Source organism: Homo sapiens, chromosome 15 (assembly GCF_000001405.40).
Source record: "Homo sapiens chromosome 15, GRCh38.p14 Primary Assembly".
In the NCBI taxonomy this organism is placed as follows: Eukaryota; Metazoa; Chordata; class Mammalia; order Primates; family Hominidae; genus Homo; species Homo sapiens.
The window spans coordinates 68,533,321-68,559,014 of NC_000015.10; the positions used below are offsets into that span (position 1 = coordinate 68,533,321).

Sequence of the window (25,694 nt, forward strand, 5' to 3'; positions counted from 1 at the left end):
CAGAAGTGGAAATCTTGTGTGCTGAATTTAATTCAGAAACTTTCAACTAGGCTAGAGGGAGCAGAGATGGATTAAAAGGTTTGCAGCTTAAACAGACATGTAATATATGTGCAAAATTGTTAGCTGGACACATAAACAAATAAACAGATAAACCTGACCAAGAAGGACCTGGAATAGACTCACCAATGTTGTTGACAGACTGTGGGGCTAGATGCAGTGCAGCTGGATCACTGAGTATCAGCTGACTAGTGATAACTGCTACTCCTTTGTGGTAAAAAGAGAGAAGTCAAACCTGAGGCTGGGCCTCCTTGGGCAGGGGCCTAGAGAGAATGAGGTCAGGAAATTGAGTAGCCATTCCTCCCCAAGCATAGTTTTAAAAATCAGTGTCTTAAACATTTTCAAAGATTATTTTTGACATGACAGTTCTTAAAACAAGCATAATGAAAATGTATTAGAGCAAGAGTATAGAATATTCAACTGAAACATCTGTTCCCTAAATACAAGATCCCAGAGAAGGTAATCAAAGGGTGGGGACCTTTCTGTGGTCATTTTCCCATCACAGCCCTCACAAGCTTGTGCCCAGCCTCCTTACATCCTCATGTTCAGTGCCTCTCTGTAGCTTCCAGGACAGATCCAAACAAGACCCAGTCTGGCCCTAAACTCTCCCTGACCCCTGGCTTCCTAACATAAGCTCTATTTCTAAGATAGGACATGTGCCTCATAGTTCTCCATGCATGCTGATACTCTTTCCCCTGGACAACCTGCATAATGGTGGATCCTCTGGCTAGAAAGGCCTCCCACCACCTCTGCCAAAACCACCCCACCTAGAAGACTTCTTTCTTGCCCTTCTAGATGCAGCTTACCACCTTCATTTCCATGAAGCTTTCTTTTCCCCACCTCCTTGTGCATACACATACACACATGCATGGATGTGTACACACACCTGCACATATGTGTACACACACCTGCACATATGTGTGCACACATGCACACACTTGCATACACACATGCAGTCCTCTCCTAGCTGCACTAATGTTTTATCTTTGTTCACCTATTTCTCCTGGTAAAGTGGCACTTCTTAAAGACAAAAATTTTGCCCTAAACATCTTCATAGTGTTTTATCTCCAGATCCAGGTACACAAGAGAAGCTCAATGAGTAACTACTGGATAATGAACTCAACTTTCACTTTAGGAATTTATTTGCCAAATGGACCAGAGCACTCCTGTCAGCCAGTCCAGGAATCCCCTTTTCCCTATTTACTGCCAATTAAAGACTGCTAACTTACCCTTTGAAAACACGCTGAAGGGTACAGCTGCTTAGCCAATGCATTCATTCTTCCTACATGTTCCAACACAATGGGTTATGTTACATGAGAATGCACTGGAAGCTTCATCCTGACTAGCTGTACTAGTCCATTTTCATGCTGCTGATAAAGACATACCCAAGACTGGGTAATTTATAAAGAAAAAGAGGTTTAAAGGACTCACAGTTCCATGTGGCTGGGGAGGCCTCACAATCGTGGCGGAAGGCGAAAGACACATCTTATGTGGCAGCAGACAAAAGAGAGAATGAGAACCATGCAAAAGGGGTTTCCCTTTATAAAAGCATTAGATCTTGTGAGACTTATTCACTACCATGAGAACAGTATGGGGGAAACTGTCCCCATGATTCAGTTATCTCCCACTGGGTCCCTCCCACAGCATGTGAGAGTTATGGGAGCTACAATTCAAGATGAGATTTGGGTGGGGACACAGCCACACCATATCACCACCTTATTTAGATGTATGCCTCTCTGAGTCTCCTAGGCACCTCACCTTTTGCCCACCCCGAGGAAGGATCATTTCTTCAGATGGTTCCTTTGATCATGTTTCTGTTGGAATTTAGCAGTTTTGATCCCAAAGGTAGAGGCCTAATAAAAGAAACCCTTATCCTATGTTCTGCCTCAACGCTGGAGGCATCTCTCTGTAGCCCTGGAATCAACAACCAAGGTTATAATTTGGAATCTGCTACTTCATAGTTGTATGACCTTAGTCAATTTACCTAATCTTTCTGAGGCTGGATTTTTTAATCTATAAAATGAGAATATTGATGATAACTAATTACAAAGATAAGTCAACCACAGAGTTGCTGGGGTGGTTAAATGAGATGAAGTATGTCAGGAACTTAGTATGAGGCACATGGTAGACATTGAATAAATGTTGTTCTAATTATTATTATTATTATTAAGCTTTCATACAGTGTTGATACCACTCTGCTCCTCCTGTCTCTCGTAGGACATTTCTAGAATCTGTTGGGGTTCCTGAGAGAGAGAGAGCACCTGCCACTGGCATTGAAAAAGGTAATATTTTGTGAATCTTAATTTGGGAGGACACAGTCAACTTCAATCGCTAGCTCATTTGGGAGACTTAGGAACCAGAGACCAGGAATGTCATCTACAAGCAGTATGTAGGATTCAAGAACTCAGGTTATTTAAGAACATCGTTTGATTCTGGAAACTTGGTTTGTAAGAATTGTATGGATTTATGGAATGTTAGCCTCTAGGAATGCTGTGTGTTTCTAGATACAATGGTTGAAAGAACTTCAGGTGATTCTGGAACATTGACCTTTAAAAATGATATATGATTTGTAATTTTGGCTTTTAATAATGTTATGTCATTTATAACCTTGTGTGCTTCTGGAAACTTGATTTATAATAAACTTATATGGTTCTGAAAACTTAGTTTATTAAAACATTATGTGATTCTGAAAATTTGGCTTGAAATAGAAAATATGTTTGATTCCAGGATCATAGCTGTCAGAATAGCACTATAATCACACTGTATGGCGTCAGAAACTTGCTTTACAAGAATATTGTGTGAGTCTGGAAGCCTAGTCTACAAGAAGTTCAGTTTAATTTTGGAATCTTGATCTCCATGTACGTTGGCTGGTAGGAATCTTGCATGAGTTTGGAACTTGTTCTTTAGAAATCTCATATATTTCTGGATGCTTGATCACAAGAATTTCATGTGACTTGCAAAGGTTGGTTTATTAGGTTTTGTGATTTTGAATCTTGGCTTGTAGGAATCTTATGTGACTTTGGAATCTTGGCCTAAAAAACTGCTATTTAATTCTAGAACCTTAGCCAATGAGAATCTTAAGTGATTCAGAATCCCTGGTCTATAATAGCACAGCATTTCAGAACGTTGGCCTGTAAGAATATGATGCAACTCTGTAACACTGGCCTGTAATAACGTGATGTGGTTTCAGAATCTTAGCCTTTGCAAAGTGTGATTGTGATACTTTGGTATGTCAAAGACCACTGATAGTGTTTTAATATTTGTTTTTTCTTCCTTGGTCATAGACCACTGATTTTTAGCTGTGACATGGCCAGCTAAAAACTAAATTTCTGAATAAAAACTGAAATAAAAAGTCAATTTCTCATTCTGTCTTGCAGCTAAGTTTGTCCTTGTGACTAAGGTCTGGCCAATGACATGGAAACAGAAGTGGCAGAGACACTTTCTGGAAAATATTTGTAAATGGAGGGGCTATGCCCTTCATCAGCCCTTCCTCCTTCCTATTGGCTGGAATGTTGGCCTGCTTCCTGCAGCCACCTGGAGCCAGGAAGTGATGCTGGCAGGGAAACCACGAATGGTGGTGTATCGAGATTGAAGGAGCTCCTGCCACTGTGGAGCACCACCCCAAACCTACCTGATGTGAGGCAGAATTAAATTGCCTCACTGAAGCACTTTTATTTTGGATTTTGTGTCACTCACACACAAGCCTAATCTAGTGTTTTAATCCAAAGAACAATAGGTGATTCTGAAAAGTTGGTTTCTGTCATCCTGGCACCTTGGCCTGTAAATCTTAGGTGATTCAGACACCTTGGTATGCTGGATTACCTGTTGTCAATTTAGCATCACTGCCACCCTCTTGAAGAGGAGAAGCCAAGAACTACATTTCCCAGAGTTCCCTTCAGGGTGGTTCTGGATTAGAGTTGGCTGTGAGGACACTCACATGAGATCTGGAGGGTGAAAGAGGAGAGGCCATTATTCTCCAGAGACTACTAGGCAATAGCATGGGCACTCTGGCTGCTATGACTTAGGGCAGAGGTTAGCAAACTACAGCCCATGGCTGTAGTAGGTCAGACTAGCCCACTGCTTGTTTTTGTAAATAAAGTTTTGGGACCTTTTTGCTAATTTTTTTTAAGTTCTATGGTACATGTGCAGGGTGTGCAGGTTTGTTACGTAGGTAAATGTGTGCTATGGTGATTTGCTGCACCTGTCAACCCGTCACCTAGGTATTAAGCCCAGCATGCGTCAGCCATGTTTCCCAATGCTCTCCCTCCCCACCGCCTCCCCCACAGGCCCCAGTGTGTGTTGTTCCCCTCCCTGTGCCCACGTGTTCACATTGTTCAGCTCCCGCTTATAAGTAAGAACATGCAGTGTTTAAATAAATTTTCTTGGAACACGGCCTTGTTTACATATTGTCTATGGCTGCCTTTAAGCCACAACAGCAGACTTGAGTAGTTGCTACAGGGATCCTCTGTGGCAAAACCTAAAATATTTACTATCTGGTCTTGTACAGAAAAAGTTTGCCAACTCCTGCTATAGAATACATGGTTGGAGCTTAGTAAGTTCCATTTAATAAGTATGTGTTGAGCATCAGCTCTCTGGTGTGTGGCGGGGAGCCTTGTTCATAGAGTAGGTATCATCTAGGTGGAACAATTAAGTATATCCAAGTAGCAAAGTCACACATTTACTTACGTTACCTTTAACTATTCAGAGAAATATATAATTTTGTTTTTTTCTCTAGTAATTGATCGGATCTCCTTCAAATCACTATCCATTGGGTAACAGAAGCAAGAAACCCTACAATTTAATTGATCCCAATAATTTTTTCCCTTTCTCCTTTTTTTCTCTGCCTCCCCTGAGATTCCTGGTGTGTGTGGAGGAAGAGGGGAATAGCCACAGCTTTCCAGGAGGCCCACCTGCCCCTCAGTAACTTTTAATTGCATAAAATAATGTATATTTTCAAAGCTATGCTTGGCTTCATTCGGTAAAAATACACAGGATGTGGCAGTACAGGAGAGTTGGGGCTTTAGACTGACACAGTATGTGCCCTCTGGAACCTCTGGCCTCAGCTGCGGAGGGGCTGGTCCTGGGTGTACCCTGGGCTGGTGACTGTGAGGAGGTCCTGGGCGTTGCCCTGGCATCCACTACTGGAGTCTGCGGTGGCTTCAGCATATGAATTGCTCTCCTTTTTTCTCTGCATGGTCAGAGCTCACATTGTCCCAGCTGATTTGGCCCCATTTTGGTCCTTTCTCTTCATTATTTTGATTTAAGTCCAGTCTTCAAGTTCACTTTAAATGAAAAAGCTTTTACCTAGAGAGAAGAAACTCACAAGTTTATTAATATAACAAAAAAAACCCAGCTTTACTGTCATCTCCCAACCTCCCCAGACCTACTGGGAGAGAAGAGGATCCCTGGACCTATTAGGACTTCTCACATTCTAAAGAGGTGTCATTCCAGTAGCCTGTAGGTTCTCATGGATCTGGGTCTCACTTTATTTGATCAGGGAAGGAGATATGGCCAGGGAATCTTCATTTCTAAGAGGTCAGTTGGCTAAAGTCCTGAGGTGTTGATGGTTTGAAAAACCGTTAATCCTTTTACATTTTTATACCACAGAACAGTAATCACACTTTTACATCTCAGTTTTTGTGTCAAAATTCAAATGTTTGCATTATAATTGAAGTGTATTAAGCTATTTAATGCCCACAGGCTTCTAGAGGCATAGGAGACAGTCCAGTAACCAAAGATAAAGGCTAGCCACAAGACAGCAGAGCTGGGCTCTAGAGAAGCCACAAGCTGCAGGAGCCTGCTGAGAGAACAGTGAGGGAAAATCCCTTCCTTCTGCTATGTCTCTGTAGCGCCCTCTACTGACAACGCTTACCACTGTGCCAGCTGGCAAAAGAAAACTATTTAATGGGCCCATCTCCATTTTTGCAGAGCTGGTAGTGAAGGATAAATTTGGAACTGAGAGTCAGTAAATTGATAACTGGAACATATGAGATATGTCTATCAATAATTATCATGGCAGGTGCAGTGGCTCACACCTGTAATCCCAGCACTTTGGGAGGCCAAGGCAGGCAGATCACTTTAGCTCAGGAGCTCCAGACAAGCCCGGGCAACATGGCAAAACCCCATCTCCACTAAAAATAAAAAAAAATTAGCCGGTCGTGGCAGCGTGTGCCTGTAGTCCCAGCTACTCAGGGGGCTGAGGTGGGAAGATCGCTTGAGCCTGGGAGGCTGAGGCTGCAGTGAGCCAAGATTGAGTCTGCCAGGGTGACAGAGCAAGACCATGTCTCAAATAAATAATAGTAATAATAATATTTATCATAATAGAAAAACAGAACATTTTGAAATACTTATTAATGCATTTTTAAATAACAGCAATAAACATATTATGTATTCACATATTTTAATCAAAGTATTTGTATTGTCCCAAACAAACAAAAGTAATAGAATGAGTGACATTGTTTGGAAATCTCTTTGCTGTTTGGTTAATAGAAGATAGCTGGATTCTCCTTCCTGCTTTTGCAGTCAATCTATCGTGGTATGTTGTTTTGGTTAAAGTATATAAAGAAAATCTGGCTTTACGCAAGCGTGCAGTTGAAAAAGGGAGGAGTATTTTAACAGTTTTTGAAGATAATTGTAGATATTCTCCCTTAACCATGCACCAAAACTCAACTAGTAGGAATTTCTTAAAGATTAGTTGCAATGTGGAATTTGAAATCACATCAGTATGTTTTCATACTCTGTAACATTAAAATCCATTTGTCAACCTTGCACTTTAAATGGATTTTTGCCTGTGCATGATTTTGAAACATCATACTTTGATCACCTGGAAAATATTAGTTCACTGAATTATGTAGATCTTCCAAATATTGACACATTTAATCATACAATATTTAAAAAACAACATTACTTAACATCACGACCCATCACAATGTATTGGGAAGCTGTCAATCCCACAGTAGCAGATGCAAGTTTTCCAAAATTCTAATTTGCACTTGAAATTTTGAATTTTATAATTGGCAGCAATGATTGTCAATTATTTTCCTTGAAGTGGTGGGCTCCTTTCATTTATTTTCAAGATAATGTCTGCCAAATACACAAGTCTGATTAACTTTACCTTATCTGTTTTTCAAGCAAAACCAGTGTTCAATGAAAAATGTGCAGTTTAGCTCACAACTCAGTCTCACCAGTCCCTTTCATTTAAACAATCACCATGCTTTTGTATGCAGCAGAGCTGCTGTATACATTTTCCCATTTTGTCACACTGAGTTAGAATATTAAAATGGCAAGTACTTAAGGGTCAATATTTAATAACATGAATAATTTTAACTGCCTCATCAAGAACATTCTTAAGTAAAGTTGGCTTTTTTTTTAAACTGCAAGTGCATGGTGGTTAAAACACACACACAAACACACACACAGAGAGTCAGTGACTGTCAGTATAGTCTGCCCTAATTCACGCTAAAAGCACCAGCAGTTTTAGCCACCTTTGCTTCTGTACCATCAGTACACATTTTAATACAGTAAAAAAAGAGGATTATTATGAAAATAGTCGTGACTTTTCAGATCCTCTGCAAGGGCACAGTGACTCACACCTGTAATCCCAACACTTTGGGAGGCTGAGATGGGCAAATAGTTTGAGCTCAGCAGTTCGAGACCAGCCTGGGAAATATTGTAAAACCCCATCTCTACATAAAATATTAAAAAGTTAGCCAGGTGTTGTGGTAGTGTGTGCCTATAGTCACAGCTACTCGGGAGGATGAGGTGGGAGGGTGGCTTGAGCCTGAAAGGTGGAGGCTGCAGTGAGTCAAAATGGTGCCACTGCACTCCAGCCTGGGTGACAGAGCCAGACCCTGTCTCAAATAAAAAAAGGAAGAAAATCATTGATCTATTTAACATCTTATAACTAAGGACCATAATGTGATTTCAGGGTCATCATGTTCATTTGAGTAAGAGTCCTATTGGCACCAAGTAGTACTATTTTATTTTTAAGGACTAGCATCAGAAGGATATAGTACATAAATGAGTTCATACTCAGTGACATCAAAAATGCTATATGAACAAAGGCTTTAGAGTAGTTTGGATGGAGGAAAAGGTGATGGGGGAGTTGGATCATCATACAACACAAGGTGATAATAAGCTGAACTCGAAGGAATCTATATCACTGCAGTCAATACCATAATCACAGTGCCAGTGGTGAGTTAGTTTCAGCAAAACAACATCTAGAGCTAATCATCCCCAGCTACTAAAACAAGATCCTCCTGAGTGCTTTGTCCAGTGCCCTATGAATTATGAGTTTTTTCAGTCTGGCTGGAGAGCAGGTACTATTACTGGCCCCGCATGAGCTTCTGGTGCTGTTCCTTCTAACCCTTTCGGGTGATTCTTTCGCTGGCTCATGGGGCTTCCTCACACGCAGGTGCTGATCAAACTCTGCTAAATGCCTGAGGGAGACCCTTGGTGGCTCTTTGGAGTTCTCCGTCTGTGTGGCTCTCTTCTCTCCAGTCCTGTGCCCTGCGAACTCTGACAGCCTGGGCCTCCTTACATTCAGTTCCTTCCACCCTCTCAACCCAGGGAGTCTGTGGGACCCGCCTGTGTTCCTTCTCCCTGCACCGTGGCCTGGAAACTCTCTCAAGGCAGCAAGCTGGGACGGTCACAGGGACTGTCTCATTTGTTTGTTGCGTCTTAGGGATGACTTCATTGCCTGAGGTCTGGTGTCTTGAAAATCAGTGTTTCATATTTTTAGTTGTTTCAGGTGGGCTAGTAAATCCAGTCTCTTACTACTTCTTGGCTGGAAGCAAAAGACCCCAAAGGATCCAAATTTGATCCTATCATAAGCACTCATGTATTAGGCTGACCCATCCTTAATCAATTTCTGAACTCATCTCGTTTGCAGTACTTTGCCAAATGCAGCCAACAGCAAGCAAAACACACTACTCAATTTCTGTCTTCAAACTTCTTTCCCTACATTTCAAGTAATTACAGGTGAGAGTTTCACCAAATGTTTCTCCACTGCATGGATAGCTATCTCTCCAGCTTCCAACATCAGTTCCTTATTGCTGCCACTGAATCTCTAAGAGAATACTGCATCTTTTCATTGTTTTTTGCTTTAACAGCACTTCACTTCTAAGTACAAATTTCTGTGTTAGTCAGGATAGGCTAGGTTAAGCTGTGCTAACAACAACCACCCTTAAAATCAATAAGAGCTTATTTCTGGCTCCAATGTGGAGCAGAAGGGAGGGGCACCCTCATGGCCACCTGTGACTCCGTGGCAATACCTGCTTTCATCCCTGCAAGCAGGAAGGAGACATAGCCAACTCCACACTGGCTCTTAAAGCTTCTGCCCAAAAGGGTCATTTGTCACCTCTGCTCACATTTTTATAGGTCAGGGCAAGTCATATGGCTTCACTTAACTTCCAAAGAGAGCAGAGGTATGCAGTGCTACCATGTGCCTGGAAGGAGGGAGATGGGAACCTTCTGGAGCAGCCCTAGTGTCTGCCCATGTGGCATGTGTGCTTCCCTTTGTTATCTCTGCTCTAGCTCTGACAATCAGCAATCAATGTGTGACTTGCTGAGTGATAATCAGCTGCCGGATGTATTGAAAAGGAATGCCTTGCTCCAGGCTCCTCGGGATGCCTTGGTTTACTGCAGAACAAAGGAGACTCCTAACTACTGAGGCAATGTGAGTCCAAAAAGCATCAGGTTAGACTGACGGAGACAACTCAGGAAGGCTTCCAACAGGGATCGGGGGGTGGAGGGGCTTTGCATGGCCAGATATCTCCACAAATTGCAGTGACCCTGGCCTTCGAGACAGAAGGATGCATTTTCAAAGACTGGCTCTCACTGGCTATGTGACCTTGAACAAGTCATGTCCCCTCTGGAGCCCTCAGTTTGCTCCCCTGTCAGAGGGAGATAATGTGAGTGGAAATTTCCAGAACAGTGGTTGGCTTCCTCCCTCCCCCTGACTGGGAAATGCCTCTCTCTCCTGGACCAAAGCCTAGGGCTGATTCATAGTCACTATCAGCATCATTCTCAGCCTGGGCCAGGTCAACACATTGTTTATCTTGGTGTCTGAGCCCATTCCTGGCATTGCAGAGACAGAGGATAAGAGCATGGGGGCTGGTGGATCCCCAATCCCCATCTTTCTACCCTGTCCCCTCCTTCCTCCTCCCACCCCAGGGTCTTGTGAGAATAACTAAAAAATGCAACTCTAAGGCCAGCAAGGCCAATTTCCCAGGGGCAGAGTCCATGATTCCCATACAGACCCTCCTGCTTGCCTCCAAAGAAGGCTTCCTTTGTAATGACTCTTGAATTAATCAACTTCTATCGACTCCTATGCCTGCCTCTGATCTCAGGGTCTCCAGTCCTCCCCCAACACAGCTGCAGACGTCTCCCATCTCTCCTTCCTGCCTTAGTCCCTCCTGCCCTAGTCCCTCCCTCCACCCTCCTGACGCACACTGCGGTGACTGCCAAACTGGGCATCACCCTGTCCAGCCTTCTGCCCAGCAGCCTTTCACGCTGCCCAGGTGACAGGAAGCCCCGCCATGACTCCAGATCCTGGCCCTTACCTCTCTCAAGTCCTCTACTCAGACCAAGCAGTCTGCTGGACCAGTCACGTGTTTCTCTGCCTAGAATATCTGTCCTAGTCCTTCCTCTGATTATCTAAGGAGCATCTCAGACCCCACCTTGGTGACCACCCCAGCCCACTCATGCCTTCCTTCCCCAAGCTCTGTAGACAGACAACCATGCAGTGCAGTGATCAGAACAGAGGTGCTGATGGTCCACTGTGGATCCACATCTGGCCCTGTATCTCCTGAGCAAGCAACTATATCTCTCTCTGGCTCAGTTTCCCCATCTGTAAAAGGGAGATACTGATGATATCTTCCCCAGAGGGCTACTGGGAGGAGTAACAAGATGTAAAAACATGCAGTGTGTGTGCATGGGTGTGTGACACTGGTCATCATTTGATGTCTATTGGCCCATCCACTCTGCACACATGGACTGAGTCCCTCGTTTTTGCCAGGGTCTGAGCGACTCACTAAGATTCATCCATGCCCTCAAACAGCCCTGCTTCAACTAGGGGAGAAAACACAGTGTTTGAATACCATGTGATGGTATCCATCCTGTTCCAGGTGGAGGATGCAGAGGATGGCCCCCTGCACCTTCCAGGATAAGAAGATCCTGATGCAGTCAACTTACCACCAGGAGGCAGGTTGGTCTCCTCAAGGAAACAATGCCATTTCAGGGGTTTGATTTTGGTCTCCATTATGGACAAGTTGGACATTCAGAAGTGGCAGGAGCTAGATCAGCCTTGGGTAGGTGGAAGCCCATGTCATTGGGCCAATAGCAGCCCCAGGTCTCTGCCTTCATAGCCAATCTGCTCACAGGCTTGTCATACACATTCTTTTTTTTTTTTTTTTTTTGAGATGGACTCTCGCTCTGTCGCCCAGGCTGGAGTGCGACGGCACAATCTCGGCTCACTGCAAGCTCCGCCTCCGGGGTTCACGCCATTCTCCTGCCTCAGCCTCCCGAGTAGCTGGGACTACAGGCGCCCACCATCATGCCCGGCTAATTTTTGTATTTTTAGTACAGACGGGGTTTCACCGTGTTAGCCAGGATGGTCTCGATCTCCTGACCTCGTGATCCGCCCACCTCGCCTCCCAAAGTGCTGGGATTACAGGCTTGAGCCACCACGCCCGGCCTGCAAGGCACATTCTTGCACGGGTGGGAATCGGTGTCCATAGATTCCCATGCCCCACATGAAGGCTGCAGGGCAGGACTCCTCTGAGAGTGACACACGCTGGAGGAAAAACTGGGAGATGGTAGATTTCCCTCCTCAGAAAACCTTGCCATGGAGTCTTCACGACTTTTTCCCCTAATTTTTCAGTGTGGGTGTTTAATTCATTTATTTTCACTTTTTAATTTGTATTGCTATGGAAAGGCGTTTGGTGCTATAAATGTCAGGTCTCAAATTTGCATGACTCCACAGTTCATGGCCTTCATACTCTACCCCTCCCCCAGCTCCAGCCTCTGTCATACCCTGGTGGGAAATTCAATTCTTTGAATTGAGTTGTGTGTTGTGTGGTTGCTTGCTACATTTTAAAGTTCTTGAGATAAAGAAGGGGGTTCCCCATTGGCCTTCCCATCTTCTGGAAGCTCCCTGAGGCTAGGCCCCAATCTCCAGGATCAGTCTCAGAGCCCCTCCCTTTACACCCCTGCCTGCAACAGGAATGCGGGGGGCGGGGGGGGTAATACTGGGCGAGGGGGACTGGGCAACAGCCAGGGTGGCATTTGAAGGAGCCAAAGGGGCCTCCCCTTCCTTAGTTCCTGGCAGAATCACTCCTTGGAAAGAAAACTATCATAGTCCAATGCTGTAGGGGGAAGAGCTGGGGTAAATGAGGCATGCCTGGGAGGCTGGGGGTACCCCGGGGATGGCAGGAGCTGCCATCAGGTGGGGCATCCCCAGCCCTCAGCCTCAAAGGTGTGGCTTTGGGAAAGCAGCGGATAGCTGTGCCAGGGCCCAGGAAGACTGTCAAGGCCAATGGCACTCAGAGACTTGGCATTTCCTCCCAAAGGGACTCATTTGCTCAGCACGGGGTCTCCTAAACTCCTAGACCCCACCTCTCTCTGCCCTCCCCCTTTTGCCAACTCATGTCACTCATTGTGGAGGGCAGAAAACCAACAGTGAGCCGTCCTTGCCACCCTTAGTTGCTTGGGTAGAAAATCGACTTGGTGCTCCTTCACGCACATAAAACCACTCTCCTATTGATGGTCCATTCTATTCTAGTCCTCTCTCCTGCACATCTGCTGTCACGAGGTTGACCGGACAAGGGATTGTAGTGTCCATTTTGCAAACGAAGAAGTTCATCTCAGGGATATTGAGTAATTTGCTTCAAGGCTTCCCAGTAGTTGCTTTAAGATTCCACCATCCAGTTGCAATCTTTTCTGTTTTCTCACCTTTGCAATACCATGCATCAATTTGGGATGTGTGTGGAATGAGTGTCTGTAAATTGAATCCTGGCTTAGCTACCGCAAGGGATTCCAAGATTTCCAGGGACCTGCGGGGAGTCCTGTCAGAGTGAGAACAACCAGCCACCTCCAGCCCAGACTACCTGGCTACTGTGTGTGGGTTTTCCCCAGCTGGGTTTTGGTAATTCTAGACCCTGAGGTGTCTAGATGGGCCACCAGGAGCTGCTGTTGGCTTTCTGCCTGGCCTGCCTCCTCTGCCCAGTGCAGTACATTTCTTCTTCCCTTGCAGTCTGTCTGCCTCTGACCAGATGCTCAATAGTTACTAAATGAATGAATGAATGAGTGAATGAATAAATGAATGATGAATGTGGCCTTGTTATGCTCCTGATCCTGCCTTCTACCTGCCCCCTTCTTGTCTTATGATGACCTTTTCTTCTGCTGACCTTGACTTTGACCTTAGCTAGTATTTGCAACCCTCTGTTCACTCCATCTCCTGGCTCTTTAGAGGAGGGAATACTCCTCTAATATTAGCTAATGTTTTAAGTGAGCAATCAGGAGACTTTCACCCTCTCTTGTTGGATCGCATCTTACGTACCAATGGATTTGAAAAATAAATTAATTTATGGCCAGCTTAATTCCAGAAAAGACTCAAAGCAGTTTCTAAATTTAAATATGATACAAAATGAAGTAAATTATAAAACAAATAAATGCAGAAATCACAGCAAATAAAAAGTGAGAGTAAGAAAGAGAAGGTAAAACAAAGAATGAGGTAAATGCAAATAGGAGGTCCAGGATAATTGCTAGAGGTTTTCAGGCCAAATATCTGCAGCTGAGCTTCCTAGCAGCCAATGCAAAGAGAGCAACCCGATTAGTTATAATCTTACTTAGTGTCCATAAGATAAAGGCAAATCACATAGAGAAACTCAACTGTTCTGGAATTATGCTTCATAATAAAAAGACCCTGTAAAAATTACCTGTACCCATAATCATAGGCTCCCTAATTATAGTAATCATAAATAGAGCAAGAAAGTTTATAGCACTGCTTCCTTTATTTTAAAAATACAGAAAATACAGAGACCATCACAGGCATGCACAACTCTATCATCTACAATGATAGTTGTTAATATTTTGCCAGCACTACTCATTATGCAGAATTTTTTTATGCTAATTTTTTTGTGTTTTTAGTAGAGACGGGGTTTTACCGTGTTAGCCAGGATGGTCTCAATCTCCTGACCTCATGATCCACCTGCCTCGGTCTCCCAAAGTGTTGGGATTACAGGCGTGAGCCACCGCACCCGGCCTATACAGAATTAATAAAAGAAATAAAACACCTCAGATAAAGTCCTCTATCTCCTTCCTATAGCCCTCCTCTCCCCAAAGACAATTAGCATGACAAATTTGGTATTTATCTTCCCAGTCAATTTAAAAATTACTTTACATACAGACATATGTTCCATAAATATTAAATACTATTTTCAATCTACATAGTCATATCTTATGGACTATTTCATTCAGTCACTTGCTTTCTTAGCTTAAAAGTACGTTTTTGGCCGGGCGTGGTGGCTCACGCCTGTAGCCCTAGCACTTTGGGAGGTTGAGGCGGGTGGATCACTTGAGGTCAGGAGTTCGAGACCAACCTGGCCAACATGGTGAAACCCTGTCTCTACTAAAAATACAAAAATTAGCCTGGCATGGTGGTGCATGCCTGTAATCCCAGCTACTTGGGGGGCTGAGGCAGGAGAATTGCTGGAACCTAGGAGGCGGAGGCTGCAGTGAGCCAAGATCATGCCACTGCACTCCAGCCTGGGCAACAGAGCAGGATTCCATCTTAAAAATATATATATATATATGTGTGTGTGTGTGTGTTTTAAAAAATCAATCCATGTTGATACATACATCTAATTCTTTTCTTTTAAATTCTGTACACTATTTTATAGAATAAGAATACTACATTTTGTTCGCCTGTTCTTCTACTAATGGCCAGTCTACATTAGACTAGCCAATGCTTTTCTCTTAAAAACAAAGCTGCAAATAACCTATTTGCAGTGGTGTTCTGGCAAATGTTTAACCATCAGCTGTCTTGAAACACTCCCGCCATGACTGATTTCAAGCTGCCAACAGGACATCACTAAATGCAGAGTTGGGAAGAATTGAACACTATCAGTCTTGCAAGCTGTACAAGTCAGTTCCAGCACACCACAGCACATACATCTCCCTGTGCGTACATATGAAAGTTTCTCTAGGAATATATCTCAAAACAAAACTGCTATGTGCAGTTTCAAATTTACTACTTATTGTCAAATTTCTCCCCAAAGCGGTCTTACTAATTTACACTCCTCCCAGCAGCATATGAGAGTATTAATGTCTCCAAATCTTTCCTGATACTCAATACTTTCAGACTTTTCCATTCTTGCCAACATGATGAATGAGAAGTGGTACAACCAGTGAGGTTGAACAACTTTTCATGTGCTTATTGATGACTTAGATTTCCTCTTCTGCAAATTACCTATACATATATTCTTAGTCCATTTTTATCTTAAGTTGTATATCTTTTTCTTATCGATTGACAGGAGTTCTTTATATATCATATCACAGTCCCTTGTTGATTATATATATGGCAAATATCTTTAGCTTGTTAAATTTTTTCCTATTGGTTTATGTTTTGTTTCAGAAATTCTTTCTCCTCTTTCCCAAACCATAAAGATACTCCTCTTCTTCCTTCCTTTCTACAAATAATTTTTTTCTTATTACGTGAGCAATACAGAATCTTTGCAGAAAAATTAGAAAATATAGACTGTCAAGAAGAGGAGAAAATCACAATCCTACTACTCAGAAACAACCACTGTTCATGTATTGGTATATTACCTCTGGTCTTTCTGTTTTAACGGCCATTTACAGTAAAACTGCAGCTCACAGGCCATATTGCTATGTAGTGTGCAGCTCTTTGAGAATTTGCTTTAGCACTTTTCAATTTTGTCAGTCCTCCTTCCTGGAGTTTACACTGGGGTCTTCCATGATCTGGGATTGTTTGGGGTTTTTTTTTAATTGGTTGGTTGGTTTTTGTCTTTTTATGGATTGGCTGGTTGTTTTTATGTGTCTGTTCTCGTGGTACCAAAACCTCCTACTGTCCTGAGCATGGACTTCCAGCTCCTTCCCTCCTGCTCCCACTTTGGCCCTTGGCTAAGCCCTGACTGGTCCAGCCCAGGCCCCCTGTGAGTCAGGGTGAAGGGACCATGGGGAGGATGGAATGGGAAAGCCCTGAGCTGGAAGCTGGGTCACTACATTCTGTTCCCAGCTGCTGCATAAAATTGCTGGTGGCTGGGCACAGTGGCTCATGCCTGTAATCCCAGCACTTTGGGAGGCCGAGGTGGGCAGATCCTTTGAGGTCAGGAGTTCGAGAGCAGCCTGGCTGACATGGTGAAACCCTGTCTCTACTAAAAATACAAAACAACTATCTGGGCATTGCGGCATGTGCCTGCAATCCTGGCTACTTGGGAGGCTGAGGCAGGAGAATTGCTTGAACCTGGAAGATGGAGGTTGCAGTGAGCTGAGATTGTGCCACTGCGCTCCAGCCTGGGCAACAGAGCAAGACTATGTCTCAAAAAATAAAATAAAATAAATAAATAAATAAATAAATAAATAAAGTTGCTGGTGACCGTGGGCAAGTTACTTAGCTTCTCTCAATCTTGGCAAGTTCTTTGCTTCCTGCTTCCTGCGGGCTGCAAACCACACTTGGTAGGTTTTCCAAACCTGCGGAAGGTGGAATCAGCTGAGGGGTGGATGGAGCGTGCGGGGTCTCAGGTGTGCTGGGGGTGCTCTAAGGAGAAACCCGCTTGCCTGGGGCGAATTTGAAGCTGCTTCTTTCTTACCAGCATGAAAATACAGAGTGGGTCAGACCCCAAAGACGAGCTTAAAAGAACCCCCGGGATGTAATGCCCCAGCTAGTTGATTTAGTCTGTTTCCCACCTTTGTCATTGACTTGCCATGACGTTTTGGCAAGTAGCTCACCAGGGGCCTCAGGACCCCTTCTGAAAGCCAGGGGCCTGGTTAGTGATCTCTGGAGCTAAGGAGTCAGAATGACTGCACTGAATTTCAGCCACACCCCGACCAATTTAGGCAAGTTGTTTAACCTCTCTCAAGCTCAGTTTCATCATCTATAAAATTGAACCACGATAGCACCCATCTCTTATGGTCGATTGTAAAGATTTAATGATATGATCCAAGTATAAAGTATGGAAGATGCAATGGTACTTTTTAGGGACCGTTATTACTGTCGCCCCCGAGTTCTGGGATTCTGGGTTCACCTTAGAAGGGACAGGCGTCCTACCCAGAATGTCCAGCAGGTGGTGCTGTCTCAGAACAAATCTACCTGCAGGCGCTCTGCGGGAAGGTTTTCTCCAAGAGGCAGGTGGGTGGCTTGGGAGCCAGAACACATCTGAGATGCAGGCGGCTCTGGAGGGCTCAGCCTCTTCATTTCCCAAAGGGGGACCCCAAGACTAAAATGGCTGTACTGTGTTCCTGCAGCCATGAGAGAGCCAGGACTCGAACGCAGCCCACCTGCCTCCCAGAGGGGGACACCTGAGCCTCCCCACACCTCCAGTCTCCCTCCCACTTATGGGCTACCCCACCCACCCCCAGGATGGGCGTGGGATCCTCAGAGAGGTTGGGATGACCAGCTTTTCGCAGCACACTGGGTGTGTGTCTTGGTGGAGAGGAGGTTCCTGACTCTCTGGGGGGAAGAGGGCCCAGGCTGACCGCCCCTGGGTGACCCTGAATGGAGGTCCTCGCTCAGCCTTTCCCAGCACTCGCTTTCCAAAGTGGGCAGACAGGGGTGCCGTGGGGAGAAACTAAGGTGTGATGGAGAGAGAGGGGCCGCTCACAGGGCACGGAGCCAGGATGCTCTCGGGGGCTCATTCTGTGTGAGTGCCTGACCCCCAGCCTACCTCACCCCTAACTCTCAAAGGGCTGGGAACTAGGAGGTCCAGGTAACAACCCCCAGGGGTCCTCCCCGCAGGCCCAGGCCCAACCTGGCATGAGGGTAGCTCATCTCACCTTTGAGAGCCTTGCCTCAAAGTTCCCACTGGGCTGTGGGTGAAGAGGCGCAGCTCACCACAACTGTTCCCGGAGGCTGTCCCCAAGCTGGGCCTCCCCGGCCTCCTCTTTCCTGAGGAGTGAATCTCCTCAACACTTGGGCCCCTCCTGTGCCCACAGCCCTGGCCCTAACCAACCACCTTACTCCTCTGAAGGTCTTATGTCATTTCCTTCTCCCACGGAAGGCAGCCCAGACCCCCAGAGCCCCTGTGAGGGACCCTGGGCAGCAGGAACCAGGGCTCTTGAAGATGGACAAAGGCCTGGCGCCTTCTATCCTTTAGACTAAGGTCTATTTTTAAAATGAAAAGTGGCAAATAGAGTTACAAAAACTGCAGTTTAATTTAAATGTTTATAATGACAAATTAATACTTTTCACTTATAAAACATGACAATGACTCTTAAAACTTCTTTGATGATGAGATCTAAAGTCTATTTGGGGTTCTTCATGGAAGTGAGGCCCAGAACCGATGGCCCACCTTCCCCTCTCCTCCCATACATCAAGACCCAGACATGGCAGCAAGGATGGGTGGGTGGGGGCCGGGGGAGACCTGGCAGGGAGCACGGAGATGCCTGCTTCTTCTCTACCCCTGAGGTTCTGGAACCCAGAAGGGGCTTTGGTCATCAGCATCCCCAAAGTGTCCTCTCACAGATAGGGAAACTGAGGACCAAGGAGGGGAAGCTGCTTGCTCAAAATGCTGAGCAAGTGAGAGGCAGATTCAGGCCCTGGAACCAGGTCTCCTGATCCCAGACTGGCATTCTTCCAGGGGTACTTTAGTACAAATGGAAAAACTAAAGCACCCAGGAAAAATTAGGCCAAAACATCCTCTTGTTTTGCTCTCCCAGCCTGGGACACCTTGGCCCCCATCTCTTCTGATGCTTCATCCATGACCCTTGACCACAAGAATCACAAAAGGACCCCTGTTCATCTGCTTATCCTTGGTATTTGGACACAGAGGAAATCTGGTTCCATCTAAACACTGGTGCAATCTAGAAAGGGCATAAAACTCCCAAGGGGCAGCCATGGCCATAGGAGGACGCGGGGGGGTGGGGGGGGCAGGGCCTTGTTGCTGGGTAACCAGCTTTATCTGTTGCCTCGGTGACAACCCCATCAGAGGGAGTCTGTGTGCAGAGTGTGTGCCTACGAGTCTCCAGTCTTTTTAAAACCAGCTGGCTGGAGCCATGTCCTCCCCCATTGCAGACTGCCTCCTGCACACACTGGAGGCCCCTATACCGTGATGAAGACCTTTCCTCCCTCTTTCCCTGCCTTCTCCATCACTCCTCATCATAGAATCGCATGCTTCCTTCAGCTACCCCAAAGCATCAGCCCCTCTGATCTCAACATCGTTGATCCTGCCACCAGACCTTTCCTCAAGAAGTTCTCCCAACCTATTGGATTGCTGGGGTCACTACCTCCCAGGAGCAGACAGGAAGGAAGCAGGGAGCCTGACCAGGACACGTAGTGGTTGCAGAGAATGCCTCAGAGCTGCGCTTCCTGCTGTCAGTCTTTAGGTGGTGAAGAAGCCAGGGAGACAGACATGTGTTCATCCAACAAACATTCAGCCCATGGTGCTTATATTCCAGGCACCACGCCAGGCCCCGGAAACATGGGGCACAAAGGACAGCTCAGTCCCTGCAGCTGGGACTAGCAGGGGAGTGAGACGAGTCAAAGGACAGTCACACATGTGGATGTGTACAACAAAGAGGAAATCTCAGGGGCCATGTAAGCACAGAAGAAAGGCACCACATCCATGTTTGGGAGAAAGAGGGGTGGTCGGCTGAATGATGCTCTCAGCAAAGGTGTCCTTGTCCTAATCCCCAGAACTTGCACATGTTACCTGATGTGGCAAAAGGAACTCTACAGATATAATTAAGGATCCTGAGATAGAGAGATTATCCCAGATTATCTGGGTAGTCCTAAAGTAATCACAAGATCTTTGTAACAGGGAGGCAGGAGGGTTGGAGAGCGAGATGTGATGATGGAAGTGAAGGGCTGGAGTGATACAAGGAAGGGCCCAGAGCAAGGAATGCAAAGCCAAAAAAGGCAAGGATGAGATTCTCCCCCGAACCACCCAGGAGGAATGCAGCCATGCCAACGCCTTGGTTTTAGCCCCCATAACACTCATCTTAGTCCTATGGCCTCCAGAACTGTAGGAGAGTAAGTTTGTGCTATTTTAAACCACCACATGTGTGGCCATTTGTTACAAGTGGAAGGCTTCTTGGAGGAGGTGATGTCTAGAAGAGTTTTAAAGAACTGGGAGTGACTCCAGCAAAGGAGCAGAGGCATCAGCCTAGGCAAAGGCCATAAGCAGGACTGCCCCTGGTGCGTTTGTGCCCCGCACAGTGAAGATTTTGCTGGGGAGAGGAGATGAAGCTATCAGAGAAGAGGAAGGAGGCGAGGGCAGGGCCCAGACCGTGCAGGGCCTTACAAGCCGTGATGAAGAGTTTGGATGTGTCCCTGAGAGCAATGGGGAGCCATTGAAGGTTATGAGCAGGGGTGGCTGAACCAATCTAACTGCAATCTTAGAAAGGTCACTAGTTTTGAAAGGAGGAAGGATTACAGGGGCAAGAATGGATGGGGGAGACCATGTTGGAGGCTGAGCAGTAGTCCAGAAGGAAGATGAGCACAGCACAGCAGAGACAGGTTGGAGAGGCGGTGACAGGGCCCCCTTAGGGAGGGCTCAGCAGGTGGGCTTGTCGGGCCCTGGTACCACCTGAGTATGGGGAGACAGAGAGGAACCAAATAACAGATTTTGGCTTTGCCAGTAGGTGGCGCTATTGGTCATATTTGGGGAGGTGAGCAGCTGAAATTGAGTGGACTAGACTCACAGGTGCCCATTGTGGAAGGACCCTCCAAGGATCCCAGCCTCGGGACGTGGAGCAGGTGGACGTAATACTGAGCAGATTTCCTACCCAAGCTCTGCTGAGGGCCCAAGCAAACCCCAAAGAGGCCAGGAGATGTTTACCTGGAAAGCAGGGAATCCCACCTGGAGAACCTCCAGCTGCCAGAGTCTAAGCTGACCTTTACCTCCTCCCCCAGGCAGATCTCCAGCCCAGGCACCTTCCTTTTGCAGAACTAGTCAGAAGATGGGCACCTGAAACGCACCCATGTGAGGTCCTATGACTGCTGAACCTCGGTCTCCTCATGTGCCGAGTAACAGCCCCCGCCCCACCATCTGTTGCCCACTCCCCACATGCCAGGCTGGCACCAGGCACTTCACCCACATCATTGGTTTAATCTCATTCACTCTATGAAAAAGATGGTGTTCTCACTTCATTATACATGAGGAAACTGAGTCTCAGAGCGGCTAAGTGAGCTGTCAGGTCAGTTGCTCAAAGTCCCATGACTAGGAAGGGACGGAGCCAGGGCTCCTTCCCAGAGAGTCAAACTCCAGGGCTGCAGGAAGAGGCCCCCAGGGTGTGGGGCCAGGGTCAGAAAAGGCCACTCGACAGCCAGTGCAAGGCAGCTCTGGGATTTGAAGTCAGGCCTGTCTGACTCCAAAACTTATGACCCCAACCCCAGGGCTGTGTGAGCGCAGAAAGGAATGGATTGCACAGTGGTGGCTCTCCCAGGCCCACCCTACCACATGGCTGGGGCTGGGGTGGGCAGCCCCTTTCCCACACTGCCCAGCATCAAGGCAGGCCAACATGTAGCTCACTCTTCAGGGGCACCAACCCTCTCCTAGGGTCCCGCTGGGTGACGTCAGACTCTTGGTTTCCTCCCCTGCACTGAATGAGGAGGTGTGATGCTGTGGTTAAACCTCCTGCCCAGGTGACTGGGAAAAGTGAGTCCTGATGGAGGCATGGCCCTGCCGTCTTGTCCCCAACCAGGTGTGTTCTCCACACACAAACCCTCACTCCCTTCCTCCACGGTTCCCCTCCCACCAAGGCTAGAGGGGGCTCCAGTCCAGGTCTCTTCTTTTGCAAATGAGTAAATAGAGGGACTGAGAGAATGAGCTCCCCACTCAAGGGGACCCAAACCACTTATGTCAAAGCCATGGTCAGAGCTCACAGCCCCTGACTTGCAAACCACTGCTTACCCACCCCGAGGCTGGGGGCTGGGCAGGGGGGAGAGAAGGCTGCCTGCTCCATGGGTTGTGGCAACCTGTGGCTGGGACTCATCCCTTACTCTATGTTCCTGCCAGCAGGTGTCTGTGGGTACCAGATGCTGGGAGAGGGGCCCAGGTTACTTGAAGTGGTGGTAGGAGATTTCCGTTTCTGCATCTTGATGAACCATGTATGATATTAAGTTGTCACAGAAGAAAATGGGAAAACGACTTTGCTTTGCAGTTGATGTGGTCACATTCCCCGTGGAGAACTCGGAGAAGTCTGGGGGAAGTGGCCCCTCTCTCTGATGCTGTTTGATTCCAGGTGGCAGAGCCAGGGAGGAGGGGGACAGGCACAGGGGTCCCACAGGAGGGTCCGTGCTGAGCGCCAAACTTCAAGATGAGCAGGGCCAGCCTCAAGGGCCACAGACGGCCATCTGGCCCCTCCCTCTGTGTGATCTGTGAGTCTGTGGGAGATGGTCTGGAACTGTCAGAACTGGAAAGGTTAATCGTGGGCACACAGAGGAGCTGGGTTCAGAGAAAGAAGGAAGAGAATCCACTCATCTCTGCCCTTCGTGCAGTGCCTGGCTCAGGATAAGGTGGGGTGAGGACAGGCCCAGAGACAGGACGGGGAGCGGGCCAGGCAAAGAAAGGAGGGAAGAGCAGAGAAGGGAGAGCCACTCATCTCACCACCTTCCCACAATGCCTCGTAATCACAGGATGACAGGGATGCGTGGCAGGAAGAAAGACAGGGTGATGAGCGCTGGGGCCACCCTGGAAGGGCAGAGCCCACGCCTCTTGGAGCACCGGCCAGTGGCAGGGAGTGAGTGTGGCAGGGCTCCCCCAGGCTTCCAAAGAACAGCTGGGTGGCGTCATTGCTGGAGGCACACCTCTCCATTCTCAAGCCAGGCACAGGTCCCTACAACTCCTCACCCACATTCCCTTCGTTGACATAAATGTGAGTCTATGGAGGAGTCCCCCTTCCCAGATAGAAAGACTGCCACACTCGCAAGGTCCTTCAGTGCAAGGCTGATAACACCAGGACCTACAGCACTCAGGCCCGAGATGTGAGGGTCGAAAGGACCCCCAAAGGCAGCTCCGCAGAGCACAAGGGCTTGGTGTGTGGAGTGGCTGAAGCCCAGTCACAAACTCAGGTGTGGTTGAGTTCCCACTTTATTTCCACAAAATCTTCTTTACTCCGCAGACAGTTCCTGCACTGGTAAGAAAGTCCACTTGGTTGTTGTTCGGGGTCTTCTCCCCCTCCCAGATCTCACCAGGACCTGACTCGTGACTGTGGCTGCCGAGGGACTCACTGCCCAAGCCCACGTGACCTTGTCATGGAGCCACCTCTGCAGAGCCCTGGCCACCTCCTAGAGTTCTCCTTGTGGGATCCCTGGGCCTCTTTTCCCTTCCTAGTGAGGAGGGGACTCACGAGAATCTTCCTCCCCCATCCCAGTCTGTCTTCTTTCCTGTCATAATCAGTTCCCTTCCAGCCTCACTCAAGGACTCAGCATAACCACTCCCTTTCACAGGCTTCCAGCTTTGGGAAAAGGAAAGTCAAAAGGTAGAGATGGCTATTGCTGGCAACTTCTGCTTTGGTTTGGCCATAAATGTCCCCTCGGGTAAGAAAATGTGAAGCCTACTTGCCTCTGCCAGGAGGCCATGGGAATACACAGCTCAACAAATGACCCTGCCCTGCCTGCACTTTCCCCCAACAGAGGAAAGGGATTCATAGAGGATCACATTATAGAGCTGAATCTTGAACACAACCTTGGAAGGGTTAAGGTTCAGGGGCCAATCTATCCAAGGTCATAGCAGAGCTGAGGTTCTGGTGCCAATCTATTCAAGGTCATAGCAGAGCTGAGGTTCTGGTGCCAATCTATTCAAGGTCATAGCAGAGCTGAGGTTCAGTGGCCAATGTATTCAAGGTCATAACAAGGCTGAGGTTAAGGGGTCAATCTATCCAAAGTCATAACAAGGTCAAGGTTCAGCGGCCAGTCTATCCAAGGTCATGGCAGAGCTGAGGTTCAGGGGCCAGTCTATCCAAGGTCATACATCTGGAAAATGGCAGTGCAGGGATGGAAACCTAAGTATGCCTTGGGTATACCCAGCTTCACAAAGGGAAGGGCAGCATCCTAACCAGAGCAGCAGTGAGGCCTCACTACAGGCCAGACACTGTGCTAAGCACTTTATATGTAACCATTCCATTCATTATCCCTTTGAAGCACAGAGAGGTTAAGTAAATGCCCAAGGTCACAGAGCTGCAAGGTGGCAATGCCAGGACGTAAACCCAGGCAGCCTGACATCAGTTTGCACCACGCTAACTGGGACTCCACAGCCTTAGTCATGGTCCTTTAGGAGTTAGGGAAGAGGGGGTGCAGCAAATGACAGGCATGAGAGTTGCCAGCATTACACAGCATGAGGTCCTGGTCATAGTCCACACCTCCCAGGTAATATATTACGTCTGTCCAGTTAGACTTCGGAAGGCCACAACACACACCTTAAGGTAAATGAAGGGCACTGGGCACTGTGATAGGCCTTTGGGGCACAGTTAGGGGATCCCTTAACCCAATGGCAGGCAGGGCAGCCTGGCAGTGGAATGGCAGGGAGGGTGGGTGCGGGCAGAGAGGCTTCAGTAGGGCTGAGTCAGTGAGCTGGGCCAGCCTGGCGGAGGGCAGATAAGAAGTTGACAGGTGAGGTTGGTGTTCTGACCCGCTGCAGGACTACACAGCGGGGCTGGTGAGCCCCCAAGGCATCAAACATCTCTACATCCAAGCCCAGCTTCTCCGGAAGCTGTCTGCTGCTGCCCCTGCCTGGCAGGCCCAGGGGTCCTGCTGGAACCCTGAATGGCTGGGAAGGTGGGGTTGGAGAGGAGAGCAAAAACTCCCTTCCCCCTCACCATTTTTTTTTTAAGACAGGGTCTCGCTTTGTTAACCAGGCTGGAGTGCAGTGGCACAATCACAGCTCACTGCAGCCTCAGTGACCTCCCATGATTAAGAAATCCTCCTTCCTGCCTCAGCCTCCTGAGCAGCTGGGACCACAGGCATGCGTCACCATTCCCCCAGGTAACTTATTATTTTTTGTAGAAATGAGATCTTACGTTGTTGCTCGGGCTGGTTTCAAATTCCTGGGCTCAAGCAAGTCTCTCACCCCAGTCTCTCAAAGTGCTGGGATTACAAGCATGAGCCACCGCACTGGCCTCTCTCCCCCTTGACTCCAGACAGATGTGGTCTGCGATATAATAGGGGAGTGTGGACACGGGGTCACCCACCTCCTTTCTAGGCCTTTGTGGAGGCTGCAGGAGAGGTGCAAGGAGCCAGGTGGATCTCAGGGCAAGCCAAAGCCCTGCCTTGACTGGCTGGGTAACATTGGCCAAGTTACTTCCCCTCTCTGGCCTCAGTTCCTTCATCTCCAGGTCTTAGTACACACCGCGGGGAGGTGTTGTGAGAAATAAAATGCGATAGTGGGTGAAGAGGTGACCCACGCCGGCCACGCAGGAATGAGCGTGTCTGTCTTTCCCTACTTTACCATCTTCAGTTT

General features: G+C 47.3%; 1 protein-coding gene across 1 annotated transcript in view, besides 1 other annotated feature; it reads left to right on the forward strand.

Annotated features, from left to right (window-relative positions):
- CORO2B (coronin 2B) overlaps nucleotides 1-25,694 on the forward strand; it is a 209,434-nt gene that overhangs the window by 14,948 nt on the left and 168,792 nt on the right. The window contains exon 2 of the mRNA NM_001324014.1: nucleotides 2,275-2,339. The gene's annotated coding sequence lies outside the window, so the exon portion shown is untranslated. The remainder of the gene's footprint in view (nucleotides 1-2,274; nucleotides 2,340-25,694) is intronic.
- Nucleotides 17,326-17,827: an enhancer, noted in NCBI's record as "H3K4me1 hESC enhancer chr15:68842985-68843486 (GRCh37/hg19 assembly coordinates)". NCBI's record gives its function as "activates a minimal SCP1, AML or CMV promoter by ChIP-STARR-seq in primed H9 embryonic stem cells {active_cell/tissue: H9 hESC(primed)}" and the evidence as "EXISTENCE:reporter gene assay evidence [ECO:0000049][PMID:30033119]".